The sequence below is a fragment of the Homo sapiens genome, chromosome 15 (assembly GCF_000001405.40).
Source record: "Homo sapiens chromosome 15, GRCh38.p14 Primary Assembly".
NCBI lineage: Eukaryota > Metazoa > Chordata > Mammalia > Primates > Hominidae > Homo > Homo sapiens.
This window is the reverse complement of record NC_000015.10, coordinates 83,036,695-83,064,328: the sequence shown is the minus strand read 5'-3', so window position 1 is coordinate 83,064,328 and position 27,634 is coordinate 83,036,695. Positions and strand designations below refer to the sequence as shown.

Sequence of the window (27,634 nt, the reverse complement as noted above, 5' to 3'; positions counted from 1 at the left end):
TTCAGGTTCTGGTCATTGTTCTATTTTGAAATTGATATCTGGACTGATTTCTAAATTTAATTTTGGCTGGCTGTGTAACGTAGATGTTGTTGTTAGCTAATACGTGACAAAAAGATGCCTGATAGTACTTGCTAAGTTGGAAGAGCAGGTTAGTTTGGGCATACTTGTAAACATCCTGAATTAGTTAACATTACTTACAGGCTCATGAACTTAAGTTTGAAGCCCTTAAAGAAACTGTGCACTTTGAACTGCCTGACCTTTAAATGATGTTCTTCAGTTGTTTGACAAATACTATATGCCTCCCTTTTGGGGCGCTTGTGAAACAGCGAATGGCTGTTGTAGGTGTTTGGGACACAGCAATAAACAAGAAAAAGTCCTTGCCCTCATGAAGCACATAATCTAGTAAAGGGAAACTAAAGATACAATGTCAAGTACTGATGAATGTTTTGAAGAAAAATAATCAAGTTATGAGAGAAGGAACATTCTCAGCAAGGGAACGCATTGTTTTCGGCACTAAGTATCTCCTGTTGGAGGAACACAAGAGTGAACCAGTGTGCCTTAAGCACAGTAGAGGGAAGTGGTAGAAAATGAGGTCAAAAAGATAGGCCAGACAGGATGGTGCAGGGCTTTAGAGACTGAGCGAAGACTTTTTCAGCTGGTATTTGATGGAAAGCCTTTGGAGAGTTTTGAATGAGATTGGGGAGGCGGAGGTGGTGGCAGGAGGTTGTGATCTGATTTACATTTTAAAAAAACAAACTCTTTCTGGCAGTGGTTGGAGTAAAATAGGCAGCAAGGTGATAGATGAAGAGGCTTTTGCAGTAGTCCAGGCAAGAGGCGATGGTGAATTGTACCTTGTACCAGGGAGGTAGCAAAGGACATGATGAGACATGGTCAAATTCTGGATATATTTTTGAAGGTACAACCAAGAGGACTTCCAAGACATCCAAGTAGTGTCATAGAGTAGACAGAAATATGAATTTGGAGGTGAGGGAACAGCTTGCTGAACATAAATTTGCAAGTTAAGAGTGAATGGTATTTAAATCGAGAGATCAAGTGAGATTACCTAGGAAGGCATGTAGACTGTGAAGAGAGGTACAAGGATGAGCTCTGGAATCTTCAAATATGTAGAGATGTAGCAGAGAAAAAGCATAAAATGAAACTGAGAAGCAGCTGTCAGTGGAATTAGAAGAGAAAGAAGGAGCATTATATTCTGAAAGTCAAGTCAAAACATTTCAAGAAAGAAGAAGTGGGAAATGTCAACTATGGAAAGTGGAAAGTGGTCAGTTATGCTCAATGCTATTGAGAGTCAGGTATAATGAAGACTTTGAGTTGATTTTTAATCTTGACAAGGTGGAAGCTATCGATAACCCTGCCAAGAGTGATTTCAGCTGATTAGAGTAGGTTAGGCAGAAAATGGGAAGTGAGGAGCTGGAGACAGTATAAACAGTCCTCTCAGGAGTTTTGTTGCAAAGGGGAACAGAGAATGACGTGATGGCTGGAAGGGGCACGAGGTAAGTGTTCTTCAGTATTCAGTCCTCAGCTCTCATCCTTTCTCCCATCAACCAAAGTGAGAGCTTTACGCACTCATTCCCCCACATGTGTCTCCAAAGCTCTACTTAGCTCCAGACCCTCATTTCCAACTGGACCATCGTGAAGTAATGTTTTATACCCATGCAGATGGACATGTTATTAATGAAAATATCTGACATTTAATGAGTACTTTTACTGTGTGCCATAGATTGTTCCTAAGCCCCTTTGTGATCTCACTTAAATTTCAGGAAAATCCTTTGAGACAGGCATACTTCTTATCCCCCTGCAATAGCTTTTGCCATATTAATGCTATAAATAAAGCAACCCCCAAAAAGCAATAATTTATTCTTGCTTATGATTCTGTAGGTCAGCTAGGAAATGACTTCATGGGCCTAGCTCCAAATTGTAGTTTCGTTTCACTCCATTCTACACATTTCTTGTCCATTTTAGACCATTCCTGAAAATTTTACCTGCCTCTCCATTTTTTTCTGCATTGCTTCAACCAAACTACTGCGTTTAGACTTAACTCTCTCCATTCATCCTGTTAACAGTGATCTCTCCAATATTGGTATATGGTCATATAATTCCCCTGAATCTTTTAATGACTTCTTTTTACCTACAGGATGTTTAAACACTTTAGCAGGTACATGAAACCTTTGTGATTTGATCTCTCTTTCTTCATCTCCTCTCCATCCACTCAGTGTTTCAACCCTAATTACTAATGGCCTTTTTCTTGTTTTAGTGCCTGCTTCTAAGGCCTCCTTACCTTTGTACTCCTCAGTCTTTCTGCCAGGGCTCCACACTTAATTACTACTCTTCAGATAATCTTCAGGCTTTACTTCCTCTGTAAAAATTCCACCCACAGGCAAAATTGCACACTGGCTCATCTAATTAATCTCTCACAGCATGTTTTGGTTATCTGTTGCTGTGGAACAAATCACTGGAATGCGTAGTGACTTAAACAACTTTTATTATCTTTTACAGTTGTGTGGGTTGACTGGAATCACTTAGGTGGTTTGTCGTCTATGTAGCTGTAGTCAGATAGCAGGTGGGGTTGGACTCATCTGGAGGTTTAACTCACAGTCTGGGATGGCTGAGCCTTAAGTCTCAGGTCCTCTTCAAGAGGCTTCTTCAGCTGGTCTCTCCAGCAGGGTAGCTTGACTTCGTGGCTCATGACTCCGAGGAACACAAAAGCAGGAGCTGCCAGGCATCCTTAAGGTGTAGGTCTCAGACTGGTGCAATGTCACTCTGCCACAATCTGTTGGTTCAAGGGGCTCACACAGGGACAACCCAGATTCATCATGGGACAGATCTATGTAAGGACATGAACACAAGAAAGTATGATTTCTTGGGGCCATCATTAGAGATTAGTTATTAGATATGAGTGCCTAATATATACTTCTGTTATTAGGACATTACTTTTTAATCATTTCAGTACCAGACTATAGTTGCGTGCTGCATAATGGCATTTTGGTGAACAGTGGACTGCAAATAAGATGGTGGACCCATAAGATTATAATACGGTATTTTTACTGTGCATTTTCCATGTTTAGATACACAATACTCACCATTGTTTTAAAGTTGCCTATAGTATTCAGTACAGTAACATCCTGTACTGGTTTGTAGCCCTGAAGCAATAGTCTATACCACATAGCTTAGGTGCGTAGTAGGCTATACCATTGAGATTTATGTGAGTGCAGTCTATGATGTTTGCATGATGATGAAATTGCCGAACAATGCCTTTCTTAGAATGTATCTCCATCTTTAAGTAATGCATGACTGACTGTGTAAGGTTTTTATGGGCAAAGCTATCTTACCCATATTTTTATCTCTAGCACTATTACAGTGCCTGCTATATAGTCCCTCAATAAATGTTTTTGAGTAAAATGAACAGATAAGTAGTGATACAAAGTTTCTTACACATATCTTGTGATCATTCTTATATAAAATCAAGTATTCACCTTAGGCTTTTAAAATTTACTTTATTTTATTTTATTTTATTTTTTGAGATAGAGTTTCACTCTGTCGCCCAGGCTGGAGTACAGTGGCGCGATCTTGGCTTACCCAATCTCCGCTTGCTGGGTTCAAGCAATTCTCCTGGCTTAGCCTCCCGAATAGCTGGGATTACAGGTGTGTGCCACCACGCCTGGCTAATTTTTGTATTTTTAGTAGAGATGGGGTTTTACCATATTGGCCAGGCTGGTCTCAAACTCCTGACCCCAGGTGATCCGCCTGCCTCGGCCTCCCAAAGTGCTGGGATTACAGGTGTGAGCTACCGTGCCCGGCTTTAAATTTTTAGTTAGATTAAATATAACCTAAGTTGTTTTTTTTTTTTTTTGAAAATTATTAATTTGGGGGGAAAATAGGACTAATTTGAGGACATGTAATAATTTTTCTGTGCTCTCGTCCTTAGAGGTTGTATATGAGAGCTTAAATGATCACTTTAAAATACGAAGAATTGTGGTAATGTCATGTTTAATCTTTACATTTTAAAAACCTTGGCTTAGTTTTTTTTTAAATATTATAAAAACTCTAATAATTAAATAGAATGTAAAGGAAATGTATACATATGAATCAAGAGGATTCTTGGATTTTTAAGTAACTTTTTTTATTAGAAATGAAAATATTTTCCCTTTTGACGTTACATAGAAACCTGTGCTGAATTGTCTAGTCAATTAACGTGTATTTATTGAGACTTAAACACATGCCCATAATGTGCCTGGTACTGTTTAAGAAATAAATTAAAAATATAAGATACACAGAGATCCTTTTCTTACTGTTTATTGTCCAGTATTTATTTTTAATTTGCAGTGCACCCAAAAGAACTTAAAATGTCTTATAAGAAACACAAGGGTAAGAAATAAACTAGAGTCAAGGGTGAAGCTAATAGAAAAATGTATGCTGTCAAGCTGGGTACAGTGGCTCAGGCCTATAATCCCAGCACTTGGGGAGGCTGAGGCGGGAGGATTGCTTGAGGCCAGGAGTTTGAAACTAGCCTGGGAAATATAGCAAGACCTGTCTCTACAAAAACATAAAGCATAAAAAAAAATGAGCTGAGCCTAGTGGCATGTGCCTGTAGTGTTAGTTACTCTGGAGGCTGAAGCAGGAGATTCACCTGAGCCCAGGAATTTCAGGATACAGTGAGCTATGATCGTGCCACCACTCTCCACCCGGAGTGACAATGAGACCCTGTCTCAAAAACAAACAAAATGTATAAGCTATAAACTTTTGTTGTTGTTGTTGTTGTTGTTTTTGAGACGGAGTCTTGCTCTGTCGCCCAGGCTGGAGTACAATGGCGTGATCTCAGCTAACTGCAACCCCTGCTGCCCGGGTTCAAGTGATTCTCCTGCCTCAGCCTCCTGAGTAGCTGGGATTACAGGCGCCCGCCACCATGCCGGCTAATTTTTGTGTTTTTAGTAGAGTCGGGGTTTCACCAGGTTGGGCAGGCTGATCTTGAACTCCTGACCTCAGGTGATCCACCTGCCTTTGCCTCCCAAAGTGCTGGGATTACAGGCGTGAGCCACCATGCCCGGCCAACTTTGTTTTAATTATCTGAGCAGCTAGTGCAAAAAGAGAAACCTGGGTGGACGTAATTATTTATAGATTAAAAACAAGGCAACTGCTTAGGAGATGCACAAATCTGATAATTAGATGAGTTTTTAAAAAAATCCTGATGAGATCCCCTCATACAGAAGACATTGCTGTAATGAAGTGTCTTCAGTCTGTGTCTTCAGATACATACTTGTTTTAAAAAATGTTCCTTGATAGAAAGCAAAAGTATATTACTGAAGTATAATTTGATAAAAGCAATTTGAATGGGAGATCTCACACAAAATAATCTACAAACTTGATTCTCTCTTGTTCCTGGAGTGTACTTCCCACCGTCCTTTTAATCTTTAGATCTAATCTCAAGCAGAAATTTCTCTACAAACCTTTTCCACATCTTCCTAAGTCAAAGCCCGCATTTATAGATTCTCATAGAACCATGTATAGGTTTGCGGCACTTGTCCTGTTAAGTGTGAATCTAATCAAGGGCAAATGGTGATAAAGGCCTCACATTGCTGCTCTGTTTTACAACTCTAGTAATTTTTACCTGACAAAAATACATCAAGGCAGGCATGTAAAGACTTCTAGACTGCTACCTTGTCCTTCAAACAAAAATTTCTTTTTTTTTTTAATTAAAAAAAAATTTTTTTAAGTCTCACTTTGTTGGCCGGGCTAGAGTGCAGTGTTGCGATCTCCGCTCCCTGCAGCCTCCACCTCCCAGATTCAAGTGAGTCTCCTGCCTCAACCTCCCAGATAGCTGGGATGACAGGCATGAGCCACCGTGCCTGGCCTAAAACAAAAATTTCATAGTTTTCTAGTTTAAGAAGGGAATTGAGCATGCTGTTAGCATTCTCTCTCTCTCAATTAAAATGACTATTAAGAAATTTTTAAAAAATAGTAAGTCCATTACAATGAAGAGAAAAAGAGAGGTTGGAAGGGCCAACAGAGTAGAAAGGGACAGAGAAGTTGGAAGCTGATTGATGGATGAACTAGAGTAGATGAATCTGGAGCCCAGAATCCAGAGCTTTCAAAGCCGCAGCGGAGCTGGAGCGCCTTTCCTGGCAGAACCCCAACAAAGTTCTTGGCTAGCAGTTGGAAGTAAGGAGGGTGGAAATGAGAAGGTAGTGCTAAAACATGGAAATTAATTTAAAGCCTGTGTATAGACCATCCCCTTAGCCAGCTGTCCATGACAATGGACAGGCTTTTTGAGATAAATTGAACAAACTGCCTGAGAAGAACTGGGACTGCTGGGTATGGCTTTGGGACCCCAGGGTTAAGCTCTCTTCCAATGGCTTTGAGGGGTCCCTGCCCTAGGGCTGGCTTCCCACTCTAATGCCAGGTGCCAGTCAGCAAGCCTCCCACATACACAGAGCTCCCAGCCAACATTTCTGTTTTGGAGATAGTATTATCTTGAAAACAGACCAGCTGCTTAGAATAGTGAAGTTGGAGACGGAGTTTAATCATCTGACATATAAGGAAAAGCAGAACGTGAATGACAGAGACCAAGAGAAACACAACAGCGGATCCTCAAGGAAACAGACGAGAACTTTTAAAACTTTGGTTAATGTCATCTTGGAGACTTCAGAAAGTTTTTGCGTTCATAAAACCAGCACATGGTGCTGTGGAGAAAAAAGGAACGATCAAGAAAGAAGCAAGCATTCTTAGAAATTTAAATGTGATTGCTGTAGAGAAAAATAGGAAGGCACCAGAAGATAATGGCAAGGAAATCTTCCAAAATGCAGAGGGAAATAATGATAAAAAATATGAGACAACATACAGATAAATAGCTAATATTTACTGAGGCAATTTTTTTTGTCAGGCGTTATTCAAAATGCTTTGTGTTTTAATTTATGTTAATCCTCACAACCACATTATGAAGTAGGTGCTCTTATTCTCATCTTTTTAGAGAGGCAGGCATTGATAATAAGTCACATGGCTAGCAAGTGACAAAACAAGCTCAAACCCAAGCAGTCTATTTCCTCTTGGCCTTACTGTATGGCACTGAAAACAGTCAGAAGCCCTGAAATGGTGTGTTATGGTAAACAGCTCTCCTGTTTCCTCAGCCTTGGTTTTCTTATTAAAATGCAGGGAATAGCACCTTCCTTCTATGTGAGAGGATTAAATGAATTGGCATTTGTCATACGGCAGACACTCAACAAATGGTAGCTTTCTCTCTGGTTTTATTCATTCCCCTCTCTTTGGCCATGAGGGACTGTGCCTTACTTAGCTTTTAATTCCCTGTATTCATCACAGAGTTTGCTACATAATGTCAAGTGAGCATTATGAGGGTGATACAGTTGAGGCTGAGGTGGGAGGATAGCTTGAGCCTAGGAGTTCAAGACCAGTCTGGGCAATATGGTGAAACCTGTCTCTACAAAAAATAAAAAATTAGCCAGGTGTGATAGTGCAAACTTGTAGTGCCAGCTACTTAGGGAGCTGAGGTGGGAGGATGGCTTGAGCCAGAGAGGTTGAAGCTGCAGTGAGCCATGCACTCCAGCCTGGAATCGATCAAGACCCTGTCGATGGATGGATGGATGGATGGATGGATAGATGAATGGATGGCTGGGTGGGTGGGTGGGTGGGTGGATGGATGGATGAAAACATAAAATAAAAATATAAGTAAATACTCCTCAGAAATTTAACTGTGATGGATTGCTTATCTAAAACATTACTGACCATCTCTGCAAATATGCCAATTGTTTTCCAGATTTCTATATTCAGATGAAGTTCAAATTGGTCCAGAAACAGTTATGACCACTCTTTATACTGCCAAGAAATACGCAGTCCCAGCCTTGGAAGCACACTGTGTAGAATTTCTCACCAAACATCTTAGGGCAGATAATGCCTTTATGTTACTTACTCAGGTAAGTAAATGTAGCTAAGGTATGTATCATTGTAGTTTTAAAATTGAGTAAACTATATATGGGCATTTAATATTTCCTGGAGAATTCTAGATTATAATTTTAAAGTATATAAAATGATTTTTATAATACAAATCAGGGAAACATGTCAGATATGTAAGATTTTAGAATTGAAAAGTGTATTAGAGGCCATGGATGGTGGTTCACGCCTGTAATTCCAAGACTCTGGAATGCTGAAGCGGGTAGATCACTTGAGGTCAGGAGTTCAAGACCAGCCTGGCCAGCATGACCCCGTCTCTACTAAAAATATAAAAATTAGCCGGCTGTGGTGGCGCGGGCTTGTAATCCCAGCTACTCAAGAGGCTGAGGCAGAAGAATCGCTTGAATTGGGGTGGCGGGGCAGACACCCTGGGAGACAGAGCGAGACTCCATCACAAAAAAAAGCATGTTAGAGTTAATACGGTGCTGAATCATATAGGTGAAGAAGCTAAAGCCTTATACATATAAGTGGGGTGTTGTGACTCAAGGTTAGATAACTATTTAGAATTGGAGTTGAGATTGAGATCCAGTATTGTTTCTACTTATGATTGAGAGTATGACAGCATGAAATTTTATGAATGTCTTTGTTCTCAAATTTTGCTGGATCTGGAATAAAGATGGAATATTTCAAGTTCTGAAAAGTTCTAAAATTAACGATCTTTGGACCTGTAATCTGGAAACTTGCTGATCTACTGCTGGAGGAGTTAAAGTTTTAGGTTTATGTGAAATATTCTTTTTCTGACATTTTTAAGTTTTCACTAAGTATAGGATCCATATAGAAAACTACATAGATTGTGGCTGGGCAAGATGGCTCAAGCCTGTAATCCCAGCACTTTGGGAGGCCAGGTGGGCGGATCACTTGAGGCCAATAGTTAGAGACCAGCCTGGCCAACAAGGCAAAACCCAGTCTCTACTAAAAATAAAAAAATTAGCCGAGCATGGTGGCACATGCCTGTAACCCTGGCTACTTGGGAGGCTGAGGCAGGAGAATAGTTTGAGCTTGGGAGGTGGAGGTTGCAGTGAGCCGAGATTGCGCCATTGCAGTCCAGCTTGGGTGACAGAGGGAAACGCTGTCTCAAAAAAAGAAAGTACACGTATTCTAAGTGTATAGTCTAATGAATTTTTACAAACCGAACACAACTGTGGAACCTTTAACCAGTCCTTAACATATAGTATTTAGCATTTGTTATATGTGTGTAATCTGAGCTTTATACTTTGTATATCAACAGTTTTTTTCTTTTTAGACAGTGTTGTAATCCTGTGTAAAAATTGTTTTTAAAATTCTAAGGTGATAAAATATCCCATTTGACATTAGTACTGGAAATAATTATTGATGGCCCCTAGCTCAACCCTCTCATTTTACAAACGGGAAAATTAAAACCTGGGGTAATTAACTGCCTTTCCAAACCCTCATAGGCTAGGTAGGGCCATGGCCCAGAGCTCTTGTTTTCCAGTTCAGTGTTCATTCTATCATTTAGAAAATGTTTGGTACCAGCCGGGCGCGGTGGCTCATGCCTGTAATCCCAGCACTTTGGGAGGCCGAGGCGGGCAGATCATGAGGCCAAGAGATCGAGACCATCCTGGCCAACATGGTGAAACCCCGTCTCTACTAAAAATACAAAAATTAGCTGGGCGTGATGGCACGTGCCTGTAGTCCCAGCTACTCAGGAGGCTGAGGCAGGAGAATCGCTTGAACCCGGGAGGCAGAGTTTGCAGTGAGCATAGATCACACCACTGCCTTCCAGCCTGGCGACAGAGCGAAACTCTGTCTCAAAAAAAAAAAAAAAAAGAAAAAATGTTTGGTACCTTTTAAAAACATCTTCTCTCATGAGGTATTTGTAGTTACAGAAGAAAGAACATTCTGATGTCACCTCTTCTTGGACATAATTACAGAACTCCACGTATGCCAGACCCCAAGCTATCCCCTTTACATATATTATGGCACTTACTCCTCACTATGATGCTGTGATGTAGTTTAATATTATTGTCCCTTTTTTTCTTTTTTCTCTTTTTTTTGAGGCAGATTCTAACTCTGTTGCCCAGCCTGGAGTGCAGTGGTGCAGTTCGGCTCACTGCAACCTCCACCTCTTGGGTTCAAGTGATTCTCCTGCCTCAGCCACCCGAGTAGCTGGGATTACCAGTGCGTACCACCACGCCTGGCTAATTTTTTTATTTTGGTAGGAACGGGGTTTCCCCATGTTGGCCAAGCTGGTCTCAAACTCCTGACCTCAAGTGATCCACCTGCCTTGGCCTCCCAAAGTGGTGGGATTATAGGCGTGAGCCACCGTGCCTCGCCTATTATCTCCTTATTCTCTTTTTAAAGATGAAAAATGGAAGCTTACAGAAGTTAACGTCTTATTACACTAGACAGCAGTGGGTAAAACTAAGGTCTCACCTAAAATCGATAGTTGTGAAGGTTTAGTGATACTGATAATAGCAGAATGTACTGGGAGCTGATTGTATGCCAGGCACCTTTCTCAGCACTTTGTGTACATTAATTCATTTAATCCTCACAATAACTTTATGAGGTGTAGGTTTTCAAAGTAAAGGTTTTCTTATTATCACCATTTTTAAGTAAGGAAATTGAGGCACAGAGAGGTGAAGTAACTTGACCAAAGTCATATAACTAATAAGTGATATCTCCGTATTTTTTCCTCTTTTGAATTTGTCATTAAAATCTAATAAATAAGTTGATATTCATAAGATTCTTTATTGTCCAAGGAGTTTTAATGCATGTAGAGACGATCACTTAACTACTTTTATTTTAAAGGTGAGATATAAATTCAGAAACCAATAAACTAAACTTTGGCAATTAAAATGCAGATACTGGTTCAGTAGGACCAGAATAGGGCCTCAGAGTACATTTCTAACAGGCATTCAGATGACACCAGTGTTTCTGGAGTACATGTTGGGTAGCAAGGATTAACAGGTGTCACTATGAGAAAAAAAAAACTTTTCAGTATCTTATTGGTCTGAGATTCCAGTATTACATTTTTCACTGGTGGGGTCATGTGAATTAGCCCATAAATTGTCATGTGAAACTTCTTGTTCCTGCTAAGTGAGTCATTTGAACTGAGCATGTTCATTTACTTAAGAGGGCCTTTGCCAGCTTCTCTCTAAAGCAAAGTGCCAGTATACTGTACCAGCATGATTTATAGAGGGAAAAACACTTTTTATGAAGTGTTATCAAAGAGAATGCCAAAGTCAAAGTCCGTTTTGAGAAAATTTATTTTACCCTAAATAGCAGCAGTAGATTCCATAGGAAATTTGATATTGCCTGTGTAAGGAGTGACAGACATTTGCTACCCTGAATAAGATAATTTTTATAGAAAATTGTTTTTCCTAGAGTGAAAGATCAATTTTTATATGAACACCAACTAAAAATATAGTTGAGTTGGCCAATTAAAATGTCTTTTGAGGCTGGGAGTGGTGGCTCACACCTCCCAGCACTTTGGAAGGCGAAGGTGGGCAGATCACGGGGTCAGGAGATCGAGACCATCCTGGCTAACACAGTGAAACCCCGTCTCTACTAAAAAAAAAAAAAAAAAAAAAAAATTAGCCGGGCGAGGTGGTGGGCGCCTGTAGTCCCAGCTACTCGGGAGGCTGAGGCAGTAGAATGGTGTGAACCCGGGAGGCAGAGCTTGCAATGAGCCGAGATCACGCCACTGCACTCCAGCCTGGGCGACAGAGCGAGACTCCATCTCAAAAAAAAAAAAAAAAATCTGTTGATATTAGAATTTCACTTTATAAAAATGTACTACTTCATAACTTGAAAATGTATAACTGTGATCCTAGACTAGATGCCGTAGTAGAAGGAAAAATGTTATTAAAAAACGTTGGGGCAAGTGACAAAACTGAAATACAGCCAGTGGATTAGGTAAAGATATTGTATTGATGTTAAATTTATCAAAATTAATTACTATGATTATGTAAGAGAATATCCTTAATCTTAGGAAATTTAAGAGTAAAAGCCCTTCAAACCTGATGGCTCACACCAAAAATCCCAGCACTTTGGGAGGCCGAGGTGGGTGGATTGCTTGAGCCCAGAAGTTGGAGACCAGCCTGCACAACATGGTGAAACCTTGTCTCTATTAAAAAATACAAAAACCAAGCACGGTGGCCCATGCTTGTAATCCCAACACTTTGGGCAGGTGGATCGCTTGAGGTCAGGAGTTGGAGACCAGCCTGGCCAACATGGCGAAACCCTGTCTCTATTAAAAATTCAAAGATTAGGTGGGTGTGGTGGCAGGCGCCTGTGGTCCCAGCTACTCAGGAGGCTGAGGCAGGTGAATCCCTTGAACCTGGGAGGTAGAGGTTGCAGTAAGCCGAGATTGTGCCACTGCACTCCAGCCTAGGTGACAGTGAGACCTTGTCACTAAAAAAGAGAGTAAAAGGCCATGATGTGTGCAACTTACTCTCAAATAGTTTAGTCTCTCCTCCCAGATAGATGTGTGTGTGTGTGTGTGTGTGTGTGTATATATATGGAAAAAAAATTAATAAATGAGGCAAAATGTTAAATAATATTTAGATAAATCTGGATAAAGGGTATATGGGTTTTCATTGCACTATCTTTTCAACTTTTCTATAAATTTGAAATTCCAAAGTATTTGTGTGTCTAAACAAAAAAGGTGCAGTTAAAAAAAAATAAGGAAATTCCAAATGAAAAATAGTTTGAGGGAAAATTGCATGAGATAGATTTAATATTTATTAATACAAATTTTTTATTTAGTGCTAAAATTTATTTAAAATTTGACAAAGCAAATTATTGTAAACAGGCTCAGTGTATAATCTAGGAAGTGCATTTTCAAACATTCGAGTATTCTATACATATTTTATGTTATATGTAAATGTTTTAAACTTAAAATATATATATATATAATTTTTAAAATATACTTAAATTTAAAAAATTTAAAGCCAGTGTGTTTAATGTTTTCTTTTCTCCCCCATAAAACACATGATAATTGTTTAGATATTTATCAGTTGTTCAGTAGTATCTGAATTATTGAATACTTTAAAATGAATTTTACTTTAAAATTAAATGAAGAGTCATCATCATGCCAAATAATTAGTGTCATTTATGATATGGTTAACTAATTGGCAGTATTCTCAGAAAGTTTCTGCCCAAGCCAACATAATACCTTTGGGCATTTAGTGTTTGCCCATCCTCTAAAATGTGAAGAGAACTAACCCCAGGCCAGAATGAAAGGTTGGTCATTGGCATGCCTATCATCATACCTCCTTTTTCAGTGTTTCAGCTTTTTAAAAATCTTGCTTGAGTTTAACTTGGACTCCCCCTGCTTATAAACTGTTTTTTTTTTTTTTGTGGGGGAGGGTTATAACATATGTATTGATAAAGCACATATTGTAAGCTTGACTTCTAACATCTTAAAGCCAAAATTAGTTCTTCTGGAATTCTACAGTACATATTCTTGCTCATTATATATTCTGGCTTTTTTGCTCATCATTAGGTTTGTGTGGTTCATTTATATTGGTTTGTGTAGTTGTAGATTGTTCATTCTCATTGTTGTATAATATTCCGTCATGTGAATTTTATGTATTTGTTCTTGTGTTGTTAGACCTAATTTTGCTTAGGTTTCCAGAGCTGTCATGCTCTAAAATTCTAGTACCCTATTCTCTCCTCAAAATCAAAACAGGCAATGGAAGAGAAAATCTGATATTTGCACTGTTGTGCTTGACAATTGATATTATAATTAGTGAAAAGACTATAAGATTTAAGTACTAGCTGTGCAACATACTTAACTAGATGATCTTAGGCAAGTCACTGTACCTCTCCAAACCTCTGAAAATGGGATAATAATGTAAGCCTTATCTAACATAAAGGGTTCATTAAGGATCAGAATAAGTAATGTATAAGAATATAGGCTGTACACACACACACACACACACACACACACACACACAAGCACATAAAAATAACAGGATTGGTATTGGTAATGTCAATTTGTTCTTAGCAGGGCATTTGTATTTTTAGCTTTTCATTTCTGATTGTAGAATGAAAAGTTTTAAGAATATGTAGACATTATTGCGTGTATTTTAAGTAGATATTTTTACATAATTAGCAATTATAACTGTTGACAATATTAATTTCAAATATGTACAGTCTGAAGGTAAAATAACTATGAAAGTTAAATAACTATCTCTTTATATGTTTAGGCTCGATTATTTGATGAACCTCAGCTTGCTAGTCTTTGTCTAGATACAATAGACAAAAGCACAATGGATGCAATAAGTGCAGAAGGGTTTACTGATATTGATATAGGTAAGTTCGCTATGAAGTAAATTGTTACATTTTAAGTACAGTTAATGCCTTACTTGTCAGCCTTGTTGGAGAAGGGGCTATTTTTAAATCAGTGGCTTTCCCAAATGATTGAAGTCTCTCTAAGAGTTTTGCTTTTTTTTGTTTTGGTGAAAATATTTCTAAAAGTCTTAACTAGCTCATTGCCTGTTAAAAGATTTCAAATCAAATAAATATTCATTGAATGCCCATCATATGCATGGCATTATTCTAGGGTCCATAGGAAATATAAAAAATAGTAAGAGATGAGTTGTCTTGTTAAGGAAACGTCTAATTGGAGAATCAAAGAACAAATATTTGAAAATTAAGATTTAAAACGCTAATAGAAGAGAGGGCATTAATACCTGGGTGATGAAATAGTCGGTACAGCAAACCCCGATGACACAAGTTTACCTCTGTGACAAACCTGCACATGTACCCCTGAACTTAAAATAAAAATTAAAAAAAAAGAGAGGACATATGGTAAAATGTGATTTCTATCTTTTCTAAATTAGATATGTAGAAAGTAATTACTATGCAAATCCGGAAAATGGTGCGATTACTTCAAATTGCAGTAGTGTTAGGAAAATTTTGACAGAGGAGGTTCTGATATGAGCCTTAAAGAATGGATAGCACAGTAGGTCCTTGAATAATGTCGTTTCATTATAATGTTGATAAGAAAAAAATGGACGCCTGGCGGGGGCCACGATCTGTAGGGTTTACATGTTCTCCTGTATCTTCGTGGTTTTCTCCAGGCACTCTAGTTTCCTCTCACATCCCAAAGATGTGCATTTAGGTTCTTTGGTGTGTCGAAATGGCCTCAGTCTGAATGAGAGTGTGTGTGAGTGTGCCCTGTGATGAAATGATGTACTGTGTGGGATTGGTTCCTGCCTATACCAAGCCACTGGGATAAGCTCTGGCCACCTGAGACTCTGAACTGGAATAAGTGGATTGGAAAATGATTTATCAAGTAAAAATTTGTAAAGTATATGATAATCATACAAATGTTTGATGATAAATGACATAGTATGAAAGCGCTCGGCAAGTCCACTATGTTATTTGCTTTTGAACTGCGTTGTGTGGGAGGTCCTCCTCAAAATTTTCACTTTGTAAACGTTTATTCCTGGATTTAACCCACCACCACTATGACCACTGTCACTCACTGATTCACCAAAAATTGGGTAAATGATTCTCTTTCTTGTCTGTATTAATCTTTCTTAAATGTATGTATAGCTCACATTTATTTCACTGTTCAATTTAGAAGTGCTTTGAGTCTTTATTTAGAAGCTTGGTGGTATTTTTGTGACCAGAAATATGCCATAGGAACTTAACTCTTGTTTCTATCAGTTAGCTCATGGTAAAATTGCTTTCGTTAGACACTTTCATTTGAAGTCACAGTTTCCAAGAACCCATACGTTGAGGACTTACTGTGTTTGGATAGTGGAGAGGGGAGGGCATTAGCGGCAAGTGGAACCTCAGGAAGAAGTGTATAAGAGGAAGGAGGTGCAAAGCAGGTTAAAGCCAGGTGATAGAGGACCATCTAATGATAGGCTAACAATGTACCTTTTGTCTTGTAGGAGAGTAGAGAGATCTAATCCAGGCCCGTGGCTTTAAATACTATCTTTATGATGATAACCCAAAATACGTATCTTCAGTCCCTGTCGTCTTCTGGGCTACAAACTCATATACCCAACTGTCTACTTGACATTCTCATTTGGAGATTTTATAGGCATTTGAAACAGAACAGCTAAAGGAGAACCATTGATTCCTCTCGCTGTCTGTGAGGACTCTTCTGTTCCTTTCCAACTGTTTTCAGTCTTCCTTAACAACACCACCATGAACCTGATTGCTTGGGCTAAAAACTCCTGTTATTCTTGGTTATTCTTTCTCTCATACCCCACATGCAGTCTTATCAGCAGGTGCTCATGGCTCTACTTTGAATATGTATCCTGAATCTGACCACTACTTAACCATATCCGTGGCTACCACCTAGTCTAAGCCACCATTCTCTTTCACCTGGATAATTGCAGTGGTCTCTTGTAGTCTCTCCTTTCATGCAGTCTTGCTCCCATACACTCCATTCTCTACATGGCAGCCAGAATGATCTTTATAAATAAAAAATCAGCCCATATAACTTCCTTGCTTCCAGTGTCTTCCCACATCCATTTGCATAAAATTTAAATTCCTTATAAAAGCTCACAGTAATACAAGGCCTGTGGAGTCAGGCCTTGTATTTGTCAGGCTGTGGTAAGAAATAGACCCAAAAATGCAGACTGGCTCAAACACAGAAGTTTATTTCACGCTCATATAACAGACCAAGGGAGTATTATAGTCAATAGGTAGTTCGTTCTTGTTGTTCTGTCATGCCCTAGAGCCTAGCTATTATCTGTGTTTTGCTGGCAGATGGGAGAAAGTGTGGATGGGGAAAATACCCACAGATTAAAAGCATTGACCCTGATATAGCACCTACATTTTGGCTGTTATTTTATTGGTCCCATTCAGTTGCAAGATCTCACCTAACTTTGGAGAAGCCAGGAGATGCAGACTAGTCACATCCCAGGAAGAAGAGAAAACATCTTTGGTAAATAGGTAGAAGCCACTACCTACATCTGACTTTGTCTCCTACCATTCTCCCCCTAATTCAATTCCCATATGCGCTGGCCAGGATTATTTATATTCCATTCTTTTGTATTTGCTATTCCTTCTGATTAGGATCCTTCTTCCCCTGAATCTTGGCATCTCAGATTAAAGAAGACCTGAGACTTCAGACCTACTTAATTAGATACCGTGTTCCCCTAAGCAATCCCTGTTCCATTACTCTTGCTCTGATTTATTTTCCTTGTAATACACATTGCTCTCTGAAAGTCTTATCTAGGTATTTGTCTCTGTATATATATGTTGATTGTTTACTTTTCTCTCCTAAATTGTAAACTCCTTGAAGGCAGGGACTTTGTCTCGTGTACAACTCTATCACTAGCACCAAAGACAGAAGAATATAGTACATGTTCAGCTGATATTTGTTGATTAACTGGACTGACTGGCTGTGTCTAGAATAATGCTTTTTCTTCCCATCTTGGCTGGCTCTCACATAGTCTTAAGATCTTGGCTAAAATAACACTTCCATATGACTCATTTTTTGGGAGCTGATACCCCACCCTCGTCCATGATACTTGTTATATTCCTCTGTTCTAACATCCTGTTGTTAGTTGATGTATTGCACAGTACCTTGGGAACAAATAATACACTGCTTATAATATACTGAAGGACGGGGAGTAAATCAGATTCCTCCCCAGCACCTGCATGTGGTGTCTGTTGAGTACTGGATATTTGAGAGCCCTAAACACTGCCCAAGTTGTTAATGAAACATTGCTTAATCCTAAGATTTCCTCCCTGTTAGGGTAGCTGTCAGATGCTTCATTTGTTCTTCAGTGTGTTCTCATTTGAAGCATTACTGCCTGCATCTGGGTAACTTACACCTTATAAATTGCTCTTAAATTATGCATGCCGTTGGAGCCTGGGAATCTTGAAGTATGTGCCTTGTACAGGGTAGAAGCCAATAAATATTTGGTCATTTGATTTGACTCACAGTTGTTTATTTGAAAACTCAGTATTGTGTTAATATTTATGAAACAATCTGCTGTGTTTTTCTGATCTTTATTTGGTTCTCAGCTTTAACTTCGTACTTTAACACATCTGCCAGTAGAAGACCTATGTGTTTGTCTTTCTACCCCATAGACTAGTTTGTTTCAAATGTACTTGTTAAAAATTGGTAATTAATTAAAAAACATTTTTTATCAGTTATTATTATTATTTTTGTTTTTTTTGGTAGAGACGGGGTTTCGCCATGTTGCCTAGGTAGGTCTCGAACTCCTGTGCTCAAGCCATCTGCCCGCCTCAGCCTCCCAAAGTGCTGGGATTACAGGTGTGAACTATTATGCCTAGCCCCAAAAATTGGTAATTCAAGAGAAGACTGGGAGCTGAAAGAAAGGGCTGGCTTCAGGAGCTTTTTATAGCTGTCTTATATTCTCAGGATGTTTTTTCTCCTCCGGGATTTGAATATGTGTTCTGGAGGAAGAGATACTGTTTCTTACAGCCTTTTGCTAAAGGAAGAAGATAATTTATCATGTTGATAGAACAAAATGAATTTACACCAAGGGTAGTATGATGTGCTTTTTTTTTTAGTAATAAAGTTTATGTGTTTATCTCTGCGGAAGTTATTAGCATACCAAGTGGAGACATGTAGGTTCAAAGTCTTCTGGTTTTCCATCAAATGGTTGTGTCATATTGATTGCATTTAATTTACTTATGAAAGGGCTTCGTGGTGCCATAGTTTATACTCATCTGCTCAGCTACAATAAGAGATACTAAAGTTTGATTTTTAAAAAAAATTATGTGTAACCAGTTTATTTTTAACATGGTATTAAGCCTCTCCTGTGTTCTTGGGACTATGATACCTTTGCTAGGATATTACTTATGTTTGATATTAAGCAAATATTTGGCTCTTAGCATGTGTAGACCATTGCAGAAAAGTTTTTTTTTGTTTGTTTGTTTGTTTTTTTGAGGCAGAGTTTTGCTCTTGTCACCCAGGCTGGAGTGCAGTGGCGTGATCTTGACTCACTGCAGCCTCCGCCTCCCGGGTTCAAGCGATTCTCCTGACCCCAGCATCCCGAGTAGCTGGGATTACACAGGCACCTGCCACCACGCCCTGCTAACTTTTGTATTTTTTGTGGCGATGGGGTTTCATCCTGTTGGCCAGGGTGGTCTCGAACTCCTGACCTCAGGTGATCACTCTCCTCGGCCTCCCAAAGTGCTGGGATTACAAGAGTGAGCCACTGTGCCTGCCCATATTGTAGAATAGTATTTAAAGAAATGTTTATCTGATATGTATTTATGGATAATGTAATCATATTTAATGCTTTAATTGATTTCTGCTGTAACTATAGCATACTCATTTTTATTTAAATTTAATTTAAAGTATAACTATTAGATATTTCATAGAAGTGCCTGTTTTATCTAGGTTCTTTAGAGATTTTCCTATCCATCTAGAAGTGTCGTTTTTTAGGAACTGGGGTATTTATTATTTTTTTATTAGCACAAACACATTTATTTATTAACCAAAGGGATGATCCTAATTAATCCAAGACACTTTGAAATAGCTGCATGTGAAACGTTTGTGATAAAGATAATTGAACACAGTAATGAAAAAAAACACTATGGAGATTTGCTCATTGAACTGAGCTTGATCATTCTATTAGTTAACTCCTGTCCAAAGTGATGATGGAATTTTTATTCTACTTTTTCATAGATCCGAGTACAGGCGACATTGTTCATGACACAGTACACCACTAATTTCCCATCTTTCAGTTTTCTTGTTATTGTGTTTTCCTTCCCATCCCACTCCTGATGCTGAACCAATGCACCATCTGCAAAGCTGCACACAGTCTGAGTTTTTCTGCCATCAGCTGTGGTTTCTTCAAACTTCTCTCCCAGGGTACAAGAAAACTGTGTTTTCAAAGTGCTCTCGGTTTTTATGGTGAGGTTTTTGCCATCACAAGTGATGATACAATCTGGCTTGGCCATTGCGTCCATTTTTCGCAAAGCAGTTCCCACTCCTCCTCCTTCATGTATTCATCAAAGCGTTTGCTGTCCACCAGGCGCCATCTTCCTCCCAGCTGCTGAACTGTGGCCATGGTGGGCACGGGCGGGCGGGCATGCAGAGCAGGGTTGCCGTCGGCGTGGGCAGCTTGCTGTCGAACTGGGGTATTTATTTTGACCCTTTGAGAAATCTAAAATGTTTTATTTTACCTGCCTATATTAAACAATATGTACTGGATATAATTTAGGATTCTTGTGATTATTAATGCTCACTAAGTATCAGTTACATTATTATTGTACAGTGAAGCCCTCAGGTCTGTGAAGTGTTGTTTTTTTAAAAAACTCTATAAGACCCTTGATAGCTATTCTTTTCAAGTGCTTAACGTCTTCTTTTCACAAATTTCCTCTTTTCTCTATCCCTGTTAGATTGCAGTTTATCATTTCATTCTAGTATATTAGCCTCTAAAGCCCCTTTCTCTTCTGAACTTATTGCTTCTGGGCTGTTAGAACTTAAAAGTAACTGAGCTTATTTTAATTTTGCCTATCATAAGAGGAAAAGGGTTCTGAGTGAGGACCTGAGGTACAGGCATGACGTTTATACTTGGATGTCAAATAGGAATTTCAAACTTAGTATGTCTAAAATGAAACTTCAGCTCTTTCCCCACCCCAAACCTGCACCTCCTGTGGTCTTTCCCATCTTGGTTGATGCCACCCTCATCCCTCCAGTGCATAAGCTATATAAACCTTGCAGTTATTCTTGACTCCTCTCTTTAAATCACACCTCACATCCAATCTGTTAGGAAATCTAATTGAGTCTTCCTTCAGAATATGTTCCAAATATGATCAATTTTCACCACTTCCACTGCTACCCTCCTTGTCCAGGCCACCATCCCTGACCTGGATCGATGCAAGAGCCTCCAACTGATATTGTCTTCACTATAGCCTCTTCTCAACACAGAAGCCAGGGTGATCCTTTCAGAACATAAAATGTGACAACTCAGAATCCTCCAGGCATTCTCCATGTCACTTAGAGTAAAAGCCAAATGATCTACAGGGTGCTGCATGATTGCCCCCTCTCCCCACAGCCTCTGGCCTCCTTGCCTGCTACTCTTCCCTCCTGCTCACTCCACTCCACCACGTTGGCCTCCTTACCATTCCTCAGATATGCCAGGCACACTTTAATATGAGAGCCTTTGTACTTTTAGTCCTGGAATACTATTCCTCTAGGTATCTATTTGGCTTACTCCCCCACTTCCTTCATGTCTTGGCATAAGTGAAGCCTGCCTAAACCACCCGATTTTATTTTATTTTATTATTTTTTGGCACAGTCTCACTCTGTTGCCTGGGCTGGAGTACAATGGCATGATCATGGCTCACTGCAGCCTGCAACCTCCCAGGCTCGAGTGATCCTGCTGTCTCAGCCTCCTGAGTAGCTGAGACTACAAGTGCATGCCACCATGCCTGGCTAATTTTTAAAAACTTTTTTGTAGAGATGGGGTCTCACTATATTGCCCAGGCTGGCCTGAAACTCCTGGGCTCAAGCCATGCTCCTGTCTCAGCCTCTTAAATTGCTGGGACTACTGGCATGGGTCACCATGCCTGGCCCCTTCCTATTTTAAACTGCATTTCTGATTCTCCTTAACCTGACATATTTGCCCATGTATATCATCTAAGATACTCGAATTTACTTGTGTTTATTTAATCTGTTTCTCCTCATTAGAATGTAAGCTCCATGAGGGCAGGAATTTTTAACTTTTTGTTCAGTGATATATCAGTGCTGGCTGGGCGCGGTGGCTCACGCCTGTAATCCCAGCACTTTGGAAGGCCGAGGCAGGCAGATCACTTCAGGTCGGAAGTTTGAGACCAGGCTGGCCAACATGGTGAAACCCTGTCTCTACTAAAAATATAAAAATTAGCCAGGTGTGGTGGCCCGTGCCAGTAATCCAAGCTACCCAGGAGGCTGAGGCAGGAGAATTGCTTGAACCTAGGAGGCAGAGGTTGCATTGAGCCGAGATTGTGCCTCTGCACTCCAGCCTGAGCAACAGAATGAGACTCTATGACTCTATATCCAAAATATATACATACATATATATATATATATATATATATATATAAAATTGCCTAATAGTACCTGGCACGTAGTGCTTAATAATAAATATTTACTGAATGAACGAATGAATTATAATCTGTAGACTTTAAGAATTTATGTAATTGGAACCTTTTTCTGTGGCTTGTTAATCTTATTCTGGATAGTTGAGTTTACTTGATAAATGGCATAAATATATAAGGAGAGTACTGTATCTTAATATTGCATGTATGGTAAGTAATAAATTGATTGTTAAACTGATTTTTATGGAACACTTTGGAGTTTAAGTCCTTTAATTATTTAGTATTTTAAAGTATAAAGTCTGTAGTTTTAAGTGTCTAACCTATTTTTTGTTGAGATCTGAAAACTTAATATAAGTGTGTCTGTTGGTATTGCTTGGTTAGAGAGCTAAAATATTTCTAATTGGGTTTATTTTGTATTTTGCCTATAGATACACTCTGTGCAGTTTTAGAGAGAGACACACTCAGTATTCGAGAAAGTCGACTTTTTGGAGCTGTTGTACGCTGGGCAGAAGCAGAATGTCAGAGACAACAATTACCTGTGACTTTTGGGAATAAACAAAAAGTTCTAGGAAAAGCACTTTCCTTAATCCGGTTCCCACTGATGACAATTGAGGAATTTGCAGCAGGTAAGGGTATAAATTCACCAAAATCTATTTGAAACTGTTTTAATAGTCTGTCAGGGCTGGGCCTGGTGGCTCACACCTATAATCCCAGCACTTTCGAGAGGCCAAGGCAGGTGGATCACTTGAGGACAGGAGTTCGACACCAGCCTTGTCAACATGGTAAAACCCCGTCTCTACTAAAAGTACAAAAAATTAGGCATGGTGGTGGGCACCTGTAATCTCAGCTACTCAGGAGGCTGAGGCAGGAGAATCGCTTGAACCCAGGAGACGGAGGTTGCAGTGAGCCGAGATCATGCCGTTGCATTCCAGCCCGGGCGACAGAGCGAGATTCCACGAGACTCCATCTCAAAAAAAAAAAAAAATTCTATCAGTCTCCCTGCGCCAGAGAGGAAAAGAAGCTTTTATTCAGTACTAATCACATGACAAACATATATGCGAGTGTATGATTTTAAGCCCTTCAAAATTATATTATCCACATTGTATAGGTTAGAGAAGTAAAGTTGGGAGAGGTTGAGTGCCTTACCCCAGGTTATGACAGATCTTTTTGGCTTTTTTTTTTTTTCTTTTTTTTCTTTTTTTGAGACAGAGTCTTCCTCTGTTACCCAGGCTGGAGTGCCGTGGCACAAACGCATTTCACTGAAGCCTCCACCTCCCAGGCTCAATCAATCCTCCCACCTCAGCCTCCCAAATAGCAGGGACTATAGGTGCACACTACCATGCTCAGCTAATTTTTTAATTTTTTTTATAGAGACAGGATTTCACCATCCTGTCAGGGCTGGTCTTGAACTCCTGGGCTCAAGCCTCCCAAAGTGCTGGGATTACAGGTGTAAGCCACCACGCCCAGCCTCTGTTTGACTCTTAAGGTCGATGCTTCTGATTAAAATCAGACAGATCTGTTTTGAGTCTCCATGACCACTTCTGACCTGTTTTCATTACCCAGGTCATAATTGACTATTATCTGCCTTTAAATCACGGCCAGATTGATTCAAAAGAAAGAAAAGTCTCATGGTTTTTTTTTTTTTTTTTTTTTTGAGACAGGGTCTCCCTCTGTTGCTCAGGCTGGAGTGCGGTCGTGCGATCTCAGCTCACCGCAACGTCCATCTCCTGGGTTCAAGCGATTCTCACACCTCAGCCTCCTGAGTAGCTGGGATTACAGGCGTGCACCGCCACAAACTAATTTTTGTATTTTTAGTAGAGACAGAGTTTCACCATATTTGTCAAGCTGGTCTTGAACTCCTGACCTCAGGTGATCTGCCCACCTCGGGCTCCCAAAGTGCTGGGATTATAGGCATGAGCCACTGTGCCTAGCTCTCATGATTTTTTAAAAAATAATTTCAACTTTTATTTTAAATTCGGGGTAACGTGCAGATTTGTTTCATGTGTATATTGTGTGATGCTGAAGTTTGAGGTACAGTTGATTGCATCACTTAGGCAGTGAGCATAGTGTCCAGTAGTTAGTTTTTTAACTCTTTTCCCCCTTCTGTCCCTTCCTCTTTTCCCCTTTTTAACAGTCCTCAGTGCTTATTGTTTCCATCTTTATGTCCATGTGTATCCAATGTTTAGCTTCCACAAGTGAGAACATACGGTATTTGGTTTACTGTTTCTGCATTAACTCACTTAAGATAATGGCTTCTAGCTGCATCCATGTTGCTGCGAAAGGCATGATTTTGTTCTTTTTTATGGCTTTATAGTATTCTGTGGTGTGTGTGTGTCCGTGTGTGTGTGTGTGTGTGTGTGTGTGTGTGTCACATTCTCTACCCAGTCTACCACTGATGGGCACCCAGGTTGAGTCAGTGTCGTTGCTGTGATGAACATATGAGTGCATGTGTCTTTTGGTGGAACATTTTCTTTTCTTTTGGATATATAACCAGTAATGGGATTGCTGGGTTGACTGGTAGTTCTATGTTTTTTGGTTTTTTTGGGAGGTTGTTTGTGGTTTTTTTTTTTTTTTTTGAGACAGAGCCTCACTCTGTCACCCAGGCTGGAGTACAGTGGTACAATCTTAGCTCACTGCAACTTCCACCTCCTGGGTTCAGGCAATTCTCCCACCTCAGCCTCCTGAGTAACTGGGACTACATACGCCCGCCCGCCACCAAGCTTAGCTAATTTTTGTATTTTTTGGTAGAGATGGGGTTTCACCATGTTGTGCAGGCTGGTCTTGAACTGTTGACCTGAAGTGATCCACCTGCCTCAGCCTCCCAGAGTGCTGGGATTACAGACATGAGCCACTGTGCCCAACCTTGGTAGTTCTGAGTTCTTTAAAAAATCTCCAAACTGCTTCCCACAATGGCTAACCTTATCTACATTCCCACCATCAGTGAACACGAATTCCCTTTTCTCTGTAGCCTTGCCAGCAACTGTTTTTTTTATTTTAATAGGCATTCTGAGGAGTATGAGGTGGTATCTCATTGTAGTTTGGATTTGCATTTCTCTGATGATTAGTGATGTTGAGGATTTTTTTCATGTTTGTTGGCTGCTTGTATATCTTCTTTTGAGAAATGTCTGTTCATATTTTTTGGCCCACTTTTTATGAGTTTTTTTTTTCTTATTGAATTGTTAAAATTCCCTGTAGATCCTGGATATTAGACCTTTGTCCAACACATAGTTTGTGAATATTTTCTCCCATTCTATAGGTTGTCCATTTGTTGGGTTGATAGTTTCTTTTACTGTGCAGAAGCTCTTTAGTTTAATTAGGTCCTACTTGTCAGTTTTTGTTTTTGTTGCAATTGCTTTTGAGGACTTTGTCATAAATTCTCTCCCAAGGCCAGTGTCCAGAAAAGTATTTCCTAGGTTTTTTTCTAGGATTCTTATAGTTTGAGGTCTTACTTTAAATCTTTAATCCATCTTGAGTTAATTTTTATGTATGGTGAAAGGTAGGGGTCCAGTTTCATTCTTCAGCATATGGCTAGCCAACTTTCCCAGCACCCTTTACTGAATAGAGGGATCTTTCCCCATTTTGTCAAAGATGAGGTGCTGTAGGTCTGCAGCTTTATTTCTGGGTTCTCTTTTCTGTTCCATTGGTGTATGTGTCTGTTTTTGTACCAGTAACATGCTGTTTTGGTTACTGTAGCCTTATAGTATAGTTTGAAATCCAGTGGTAATGTGATGCCTCCAATTTTGTTCTTTCTGCTTAGGATTGCTTTGGCTATTTAGGCTTTTTTTTTGTTCCATGCATATTTTAGAATATTTTTCTAGTTCTGTGAAAAATGATGTTGGTAGTTTGATAGAAATAGCATTAAATCTGTAGATTGCTTTGGGCAATATGGTCATTTGAACGATATTGAGTCTTCCAATCCACGAGCATATAATGTTTTTCCATTTGTTTGTGTCATCTGTGATTTCCTCCAGCAGTGTTTTATAGTTCTCCTTGTAGAGATCTTTTACTTGGTAAAAATATATCTAACCAAGATGTATGGATGTAAAAATACCTGGTAGAAATACATCTTAGTTAGATGTATTTCTAGGTATTTTATTTTTTGTGTGGACATGGTAAATGGGATTGCATTCATGATTTGGCTCTCAGCTTGAACGTTACTGGCGTATAGAAATGCTGCTGACTTTTGTACATTAATTTTATATTCTGAGGCTTTATTGAAGTTCTTTATCAGTTCCAGGCGCCTTTGGTGGAACTTTTTTTATTTTTTTGAGATGGAGTTTTCTTGTTTGTTGCCTAGGCTGGAGTGCACTGGCACGAGCTCAGCTCACTGCAACCTCTGCCTCCCGGGTTCAAGAGATTCTCCTGCCTCAGCCTCCCGAGTAGCTGGGATTACAGGTGCCTGCCACCGTGCCTAGCTAATTTTTGTATTTTTAGTAGAGATGGGGTTTCACCATGTTGGCCAGGCTGGTCTCAAACTCCTGACCTCAGGTGATCCACCCTGTCTTGGCCTCCCAAAGCGCTGGGATTACAGGCGTGAGCCACCGCACCTGGCCTGGTGGAATCTTTAGGGTTCTGTAGGTATAGAAGCATATCATCTGTGAAGAGAGATAGTTTGACTTCTTTTCTTATTTGGGTGCATTTTATTTCTTTTCCTTTCCTGATTGCTCTGGCTGGGACTACCAGTACTATGTTGAATAGGAGTGGTTAGAGTGAGCATCCTTGTCTTTTTCTAATTTCAAGGTGAATGCCTCTAGCTTTTGCCCTTTCAGCATGATGTTAGTTGTGGATTTATCATAGATGGCTCTTGTTATTTTGGGGATATTGTTTTGATGCCTAGTTTGTTGAGGGCTTTTATCATGAAGAGATGCTGGATTTTATTGAATGCTTTTTCATGTCTATTGAGACAGTCATATGGTTTTTATTTTTAACACTATTTCATGATTGTTTTGAATTGTATTACTTTTTATTTTTCGATTTTATTTTAGTTTTAAAGATGAAGTCTTGCCATGTTGCTCAGGCTGGCCATGAGCTTCTGGGCTCAAGTGATTCTTCCACCTTCACCTCTTAGCCAGTGTGCCTGGCTGAATTGTATTTCATTATGCTTATTGGCCTATTTATTTTCCTTTACATTATTCATGTCTTTTGTTGTTCTGTTGGTGTGTTCAAATTTTGTTTTACTGGTTTATCTTACATTGATTCTTTGTATATTTATTATTATACCAAATTTTTTTTTCTGACTTATACTTGTTCCAATTTTCTCCAAGATTGTTTTTGTTTTTGCTGATAAGAATCAGTGTTTGGGTTTTTTTTAAATAAACTTTTGAAATTAAAGTTTAACATCCATATAGTAAAATTAACAAATAAAGTGAACATACTTATTTAACCAATTTATCCTACTGTACTAGTACCCCAGAAGCCTTTGTCATGACCCTCTAAGTCACTAATCTCCCTCTGAAAGGTGACTACTTTCTGTCTTCTATAAATTAGTTGTGTCCATATGTAAACTTTATATAAAGGAAATCATATATATGGTGTGTATTCATTTTTGTGTGGCTTCTTTCTCTTAACATTACGCCTGTTAGATTCATCCATGTGGTTGAGTGTGGCAGTAGTTCATTCTTTTTCATTGCTTTATAATATTCTGTTATACAACTGTGCC

At 39.3% G+C, this 27,634-nt stretch overlaps 1 protein-coding gene, 1 long non-coding RNA gene and 1 pseudogene across 4 annotated transcripts in view; 1 reads left to right on the top strand and 2 right to left on the bottom strand.

Annotated features, from left to right (window-relative positions):
- The window catches only part of BTBD1 (BTB domain containing 1), a 50,830-nt gene that overhangs the window by 2,924 nt on the left and 20,272 nt on the right, over window positions 1–27,634 (top strand). For all 3 annotated transcript variants that reach the window (XR_007064459.1, NM_001011885.2, NM_025238.4), the window contains exons 2-4: window positions 7,784–7,940; window positions 14,151–14,256; window positions 22,404–22,601. Coding sequence is in view for 2 of the 3 variants with exons in the window: in NM_001011885.2 (NP_001011885.1) it covers window positions 7,784–7,940; window positions 14,151–14,256; window positions 22,404–22,601 (461 nt within the window). In the remaining variant the exon portion in view is untranslated. The remainder of the gene's footprint in view (window positions 1–7,783; window positions 7,941–14,150; window positions 14,257–22,403; window positions 22,602–27,634) is intronic.
- Window positions 2,484–27,634, bottom strand: part of LOC124903542 (uncharacterized) — a 50,105-nt gene continuing 24,954 nt past the window's right edge. The window contains exon 2 of the long non-coding RNA XR_007064742.1: window positions 2,484–2,842. This is a non-coding gene — a long non-coding RNA (uncharacterized LOC124903542). The remainder of the gene's footprint in view (window positions 2,843–27,634) is intronic.
- Window positions 19,360–20,022, bottom strand: FABP5P8 (fatty acid binding protein 5 pseudogene 8; annotated as a pseudogene).